Below are 7,494 nucleotides of genomic sequence, written 5' to 3' on the forward strand. Positions count from 1 at the left end.
CCTTCGCTCCCCATCCCCTCACCACACACACACACACACACACACACACACACACACACACATACACACACCATCATTTTACTGCACGTGCACTTAGTTCACACTATCGTGTAAACCAAATCTGGGGACTCAAACAAATGCAGTTTCCCACTTTATCTGCATTTGTGAATGAGAAATGGTGACTTGTGTCTAAGCCTCTATGAGTCCAAGTCCCTCATCTATGAAGAAAAATAATTCTCTCATTGCTAATTTTCTCAGCAGAGATTTCAGTGTATCCATTGGGGGTTATATAACTTTCATTTCTTTTTATAACTTTTATTTTAGGTTCAGAGGTAAATGTGCAGGTTTGTTATATAGGTAAATTGCATGTCATGGGGGTTTGATGTACAGATTATTTCATCACCGGGCTAATAAGCACAGTATCTGACACACAGTTTCCTGCTCCTTTCCCTACTCCCACCCTCAATCCTCAAGTAGGCCCGTATGTTGTTCCTTTCTTTGTGTCCATGTGTTTTCAATATTTAGCTCCCATCTCTCAGTAAGAACATGCCGTATTTGACTCTCTGTTCCTGCATTAGTTTGCTTAGGATTATGGCCTCCATCTCCATCCATGTTGCTGCAAAGGACATGATCTCATTCTTTTTTATGGCTACATAGTATTTCATGATGTATATGTACCACATTTTCTCTATCCAATTCACCGTTGATGGACACGTCGCTTGATTCCATGTCTTCGTTGTTGTGAATAGTGCTGCAACAACTTAATGGTTGCATTAATAAGGCATTAATGATGGTTGCATTATGCAAGCATAATGGTTGCATGTGTCTTTATGGTAAAACAATTTATATTTTGAGGGGTATACACCCAATATTGGGATTGTTGGGTTGAATGGTACTTCTGTTGTAAGTTGTTTGAGAAATTGCCACACTACTTTCCAAATACTTCCATTTCTTAAAAGCTGGAAAATAAGATGACTAGAAAAACAGAATTGTTGAGCAGAGGGAAAGGCTAAGCACTGACTCTATGTATCTTTGCTTTGTTATAAAAGTCTTTTCAGTCTTGGGATACAGAATAATATACAAATCAGAAGATGAGCTCTGAACCATGTCATCCAGAGCCACATCCTGCCTCCATCACATACTCTAGTGACTCTTTGAGCAAGTTATTTAATTCCTCAGGGACTCAATTTCTGGATTTGTTAAATGATAACAGTAACAGCACTTATCTGGATTTTTATGAGAGTTAAATAAATTAATGCTTGTAAAATACTTAGCATAATGCCTGGCATGAAGTGAGGACTCAGTAAAGGTTTCATTATTATACTGCAATTTGTAAACCAAAGGTCACCATATTGATTCCTTGATGGTATTATCATGGGAGAGGGTGATGGAGTGTGGTTGAATGAACATTGTCCCAGAGACCTAGTTTCTAGTCTCTGCTCTTCCACTCACTAATTGTGTGGCATTTGTTGAGGCTCATCCTAACGGTAGTACTTGATTTTCCCAATAAGAGTGTTGAACGAAGCAAAGTTATTCAAATTTTAGCAATAAAACCCTCTTTCTAATGATATATATACATATATATGATTATACATATTTTTACATGTATATGTGTGTGTGTATATATTTGTGTATATATATAATTTTGCATAGTGAAGATTGGGTTGGACTTGGAGGTGGGGCAAGATTGCACAAGAAGGGGTGGGGGTGGTCAGGGAAATGAGTTAGGAAGCTGTTGCAGTTTTCCAAGAGAGAGATGCTGATGTGCCTGAACAATATTTTTATTTTTATTTATTGTTTATTTTATTTTATTTTGTAAGTTCCAGGATACATGTGAAGGATGTGCAGGTTTGCTACATAGGTAAGCATGTGCCATGGTGGTTTGCTGCACCTATCAACCCACCACCTAGGTATTAAGCCCAGCATGCATTAGCTCTTTTTCCTAATGCGCTTCCCCCTTGCCCTCCCCTGACAGGGCCCAGTGTGTGTTGTTCCTCTCCCTGTGTCCATGTGTTCTCGTTGAACAATATCTTTAGGCAATCCACATACCTTGATCATTATATATAATATATATAATGGCAATCCACATACCTTGATGATTGTATATAATATATTTTATAAAATATATATTTTATATATGTAAAATAGATATTATATAATCATATATAAAATAGATATTATATAATCATATATTATATAAAATAGATATATATTACATATGAATGAATATATATCATATATAATTATATGTAAATAAATGCACATTATATATAATTTATATAAATTATATAAAATATGTATTACTGGGGGGGGTGGAGCCAAGATGGCCGAATAGGAACAGCTCCAGTCTACAGCTCCCAGAGTGAGCGACGCAGAAGACAGGTGATTTCTGCATTTCCAACTGAGGTACCAGGTTCATCTCACTGGGGACTGTCAGACTGAGGGTGCAGGACAGTGGGTGCAGCGCACTGAGCATGAGCCGAAGCGGGGCAAGGCATCGCCTCACCCAGGAAGCATAAGGGGTCAGGGAATTCCCTTTCCTAGTCAAAGAAAGGGGTGACAGATGGCACCTGGAAAATCGGGTCACTCCCACCCTAACACTGTGCTTTTCCGATGGTCTGAGCAAACGGCACACCAAGAGATTATATCCTGCACCTGGCTCAGAGGGTCCTACAACACATGGAGCCTTGCTTATTGCTAGCACAGCAGTCTGAGATCAAACTGCAAGGCGGCAGCAAGGCTGGGGGAGGAGTGCCCGCCATTGCCGAGGCTTGAGTAAGTAAACAAAGCGGCCTGGAAGCTCGAACTTGGTGGAGTCCACCTTAGCTCAAGGAGGCCTGCCTGACTCTGTAGACTCCACCTCTGCAAGCAGGGCATAGCCAAACAAAAGGCAACAGAAATCTCTGCAGACTTAAATGTCCCTGTCTGACAGCTTTGAAGAGAGTAGTGGTTCTCCCAGCATGCAGCTTGAGATCTGAGAACGGACAGCCTGCCTCTTCAAGTGGGTCCCTGTCCCCTGAGTAGCCTAACTGGGAGGCATGCCCCAGTAGGGGCAGACTGACACCTCACACGACCAGGTACTCCTCTGAGACAAAACTTCCAGAGGAACGATCAGGCAGCAACATTTGCTGTTCACCAATATCTGCTGTTCAGCAGCCTCCGCTGCTGATACCCAGGCAAACAGGGTCTGGAGTGGACCTCCAGCAAACTCCAACAGACCTGGAGCTCAGGGTAACGAGTGTTAAAAGCAAAACTAACAAACAGAAAGGATATCCACACCAAAACCACATCTGTACGTCACCATCATCAAAGACCAAAGGTAGATAAAACCACAAAGGCGGGGAAAAAACAGAGCAGAAAAACTGGAAACTCTAAAAATCAGAGCACCTCTCCTCCTCCAAAGGAACACAGCTTCTCACCAGCAACGGAACAAAGCTGGACGGAGAATGACTTTGACGAGTTGAGAGAAGAAGGCTTCAGAAGATCAAGATTACTCTGAGCTAAAGGAGGAAGTTCAAACCCATGGCAAAGAAGTTAAAAACCTTGAAAAAAAATTACACAAATGGCTAACTAGAATAACCAGCGCAGAGAAGACCTTAAAGGACGTGATGGAGCTGAAAACCATGGCATGAGAACTATGTGACACGAATGCACAAGCCTCAGTAGCTGATTTGATCAACTGGAAAAAAGGGTACCAGTGATGAGAGATGAAATGAATGAAATGAAGTGAGAAGAGAAGTTTAGAGAAAAAAGAATAAAAAGAAACAAACACAGCCTCCAAGAAATATGGTACTATGTGCAAAGACCACATCTACAACTGATTGTTGTACATGAAAGTGACGGGGAGAATGGAACCAAGTTGGAAAACACTCTGCAGGATATTATCCAGGAGAACTTCCCCAATCTAGCAAGACAGGCCAACATTCACATTCAAGAAATACAGAGAATGCCACAAAGATACTCCTCGAGAAGAGCAACTCCAAGACACATAATTGTCAGATTCACCAAAGTTGAAATGAAGGAAAAAATGTTAAGGGCAGCCAGAGAGAAATGTCGGGTTACCCAAAAAGGGAAGCCCGTCAGACTAACAGGTGATCTCTCGGCAGAAACTCTACAAGCCAGAAGAGAGTGGGGGCCAATATTCAACATTCTTAAAGACAAGAATTTTCAACCCAGAATTTCATATCCAGCCAAACTAAGCTTCATAAGTGAAGGAGAAATAAAATCCTTTACAGACAAGCAAATCCTGAGAGCTTTTGTCTCCACCAGGTCTGCCCTAAAAGAGCTCCTGAAGGAAGCACTCAACATGGAAAGGAACAACCAGTACCAGCCACTGCAAAAACATGCCAAATTGTAAAGACCATCGAGGTTAGGAAGAAACTGCATCAACTAACGAGCAAAATAACCAGCTAACATCATAATGACAGGATCAAATTCACACATAACAATATTAATCTTAAATGTAAATGGGTTAAATTCTCCAATTAAAAGACACAGACTGGCAAATTGGATAAACAGTCAAGACCCATCAGTGTGCTGTATTCAGGAAACCCATCTCACATGCAGAGACACACATAGGCTCAAAATAAAGGGATGGAGGAAGATCTACCAAGCAAATGGAAAACAAAAAAGGGCAGGGGTTGCACTCCTAGTCTCGGATGAAACAGACTTTAAACCAACAAAGATCAAAAGAGACAAAGAAGGCCATGACATAATGGTAAAGGGATCAATTCAACAAGAAGAGCTAACTATCCTAAATATAGATGCACCCAATACAGGAGGACCCAGATTCATAAAGCAAGTCCTTAGAGACCTATAAAGAGACTTAGACTCCCACACAATAATAATGGGAGAGTTTAACACCCCACTGTCAACGTTAGACAGATCAACGAGACAGAAAGTTAACAAGGCTATCCAGGAATTGACCTCAGCTCTGCACCATGCAGACCTAATAGACATCTACAGAACTCTCCACCCCAAATCAACAGAATATACATTCTTTTCAGCACCACACCACACCTATTCCAAAATTGACCACACAGTTGGAAGTAAAGCACTCCTCAGCAAATGTAAAAGAATAGAAATTATAACAAACTGTCTCTCAGACCAAGTACAATCAAACTAGAACTCAGGATTAAGAAACTCACTCAAAACCACTCAACTACGTGGAAACTGAACAACCTGCTCCTGAATGACTACTGGGTAAATAACGAAATGAAGGCAGAAATAAAGATGTTTTTTGAAACCAGTGAGAACAAAGACACAACATACCAGAATCTCTGGGACACATTCAAAGCAGTGTATAGAGAGAAATTTATAGCAATAAATACCCACAAGAGAAAACAGAAAAGATCTAAAATTGACAACCTAACATCACAATTAAAAGAACTAGAGAAGTGCTCTCCCTCTCCCTCTCCCTCTCCCTCTCCCGTCTCCCTCTCCCATCTCCCTCTCCCCAGGGTCTCCCTCTCCCTCTCTTTCCGCGGTCTCCCTCCGATGCCGAGCTGAAGCTGGACTGTACTGCTGCCATCTCGGCTCACTGCAACCTCCTGCCTGATTCTCCTGCCTCAGCCTGCCGAGTGCCTGCCATTGCGGGCGCACGCCGCCACACCTGACTGGTTTTCGTGTTTTTTTGGGGGAGACGGGGTTTCGCTGTGTTGGCCGGGCAGGTGTCCAGCTCCTAACCGCGAGTGATCCACCAGCCTCGGCCTCCGGAGGTGCCCGGATTGCAGACAGAGCCTCGTTCACTCAGTGCTCAATGGTGCCCAGGCTGGAGTGCAGTGGCGTGATCTCTGCTCGCTACGGCCTCCACCTCCCAGCCGCCTGCCTTGGCCTCCCAAAATGCCAAGATTGCAGCCTCTGCCTGGCCGCCACCCCGTCTGGGAGGTGAGGAGCGTCTCTGCCTGCCCGCCCATCGTCTGGGATGTGAGGAGCCCCTCTGCCTGGCTGCCCAGTCTGGAAAGTGGGGAGCGTCTCTGCCCAGCCGCCATCCCATCTGGGAAGTGAGGAGCACCTCTTCCCGGCCGCCCATCGTCTGGGATGTGGGGAGCGCCTCTGCCCCGCCGCCCCATCTGGGATGTGAGGAGCACCTCTGCCCGGCCGCGACCCCGTCTGGGAGGTGAGGACCGTCTCTGCCCGGCCGCCCCGTCTGAGAAGTGAGGAGACCCTCCGCCCGGCAGCCACCCCTTCTGGGAAGTGAGGAGCATCTCCACCCGGCAGCCACCCCGTCCGGGAGGGAGGTGGGGGTCAGCCCCCGCCAGGCCAGCCACCCCGTCCGGGAGGGAGGTGGGGGGGTCAGCCCCCCGCCCGGCCAGCCGCCCCATCTGGGAGGGAGGTGGGGGGGTCAGCCCCCAGCCCGGTCAGCCGCCCTGTCCGGGAGGGAGGTGGGGGGGTCAGCCCCCACCCGGCCAGCTGCCCCGTCCGGGAGGTGAGGGACGCCTCTGCCCGGCCGCCCCTACTGGGAAGTGAGGAGCCTCTCTGCCCGGCCACCACCCCGTCTGGGAGGTGTACCCAACAGCTCATTGAGAACGGGCCATGATGATAATGGCGGTTTTGTGGAATAGGAAGGGGGGAAAGGTGGGGAAAAGATTGAGAAATCGGATGGTTGCCGTGTCTATGTGTAGAAAGAGGTAGACATGGGAGACTTTTCATTTTGTTCTGTACTAAGAAAAATTCTTCTGTCTTGGGATCCTGTTGATCTTTGACCTTACCCCCAGCCCTGTGCTCTCTGAAACAAGTGCTGTGTCCACTCAGGGTTGAATGGATTAAGGGCGGTGCAAGATGTGCTTTGTTAAACAGATGCTTGAAGGCAGCATGCTCGTTAAGAGTCATCACCACTCCCTAATCTCAAGTACCCAGGGACACAAACACTGTGGAAGGCCCCAGGGTCCTCTGCCTAGGAAAACCAGAGACCTTTGTTCACTTGTTTATCTGCTGACCTTCCCTCCACTATTGTCCTGTGACCCTGCCAAATCCCCCTCTGATCACCCAAGAACGATCAATAAAAAAAAAAAAAAAATGAAAAAAAAAAAAGAACTAGAGAAGCTAGAGCAAACACATTCAAAAGCTGGCAGAAGGCAAGAAATAACTAAGATCAGGGCAGAACTGAAGGAAATAGAGACACAAAAAAACCCTTCAAAAAATCAATGAATCCAGGAGCTGGTTTTTTGAAAAGATCAACAGAATTGATAGACCACTAGCAATACTAATAAAGAAGAAAAGAGAGAAGAATCAAATAGACGCAATAAAAAATGATAAAGGGGATATCATCACCGATCCCACAGAAATACAAACTACCATAGGAGAATACTGTAAACACCTCTACACAAATGAACTAGAAAATCTAGGAGAAATGGATAAATTCCTCGACACATACACCCTCCCAAGACTAAACCAGGAAGAAGCTGAATCTCTGAATAGACCAATAACAGGCTCTGAAGTTGAGGCAATAATTAATAGCTTACCAACCAAAAAAAGTCCAGGACCAGATGGATT

The 7,494-nt window shown here is 45.0% G+C and overlaps 1 annotated feature.

The window, feature by feature from the left end:
- Positions 6,447–7,078: an enhancer, noted in NCBI's record as "NANOG-H3K27ac hESC enhancer chr2:134821977-134822608 (GRCh37/hg19 assembly coordinates)". NCBI's record gives its function as "activates a minimal SCP1, AML or CMV promoter by ChIP-STARR-seq in primed H9 embryonic stem cells {active_cell/tissue: H9 hESC(primed)}" and the evidence as "EXISTENCE:reporter gene assay evidence [ECO:0000049][PMID:30033119]".

The sequence above is a fragment of the Homo sapiens genome, chromosome 2, assembly GCF_000001405.40.
Source record: "Homo sapiens chromosome 2, GRCh38.p14 Primary Assembly".
Taxonomy (NCBI): Eukaryota; Metazoa; Chordata; class Mammalia; order Primates; family Hominidae; genus Homo; species Homo sapiens.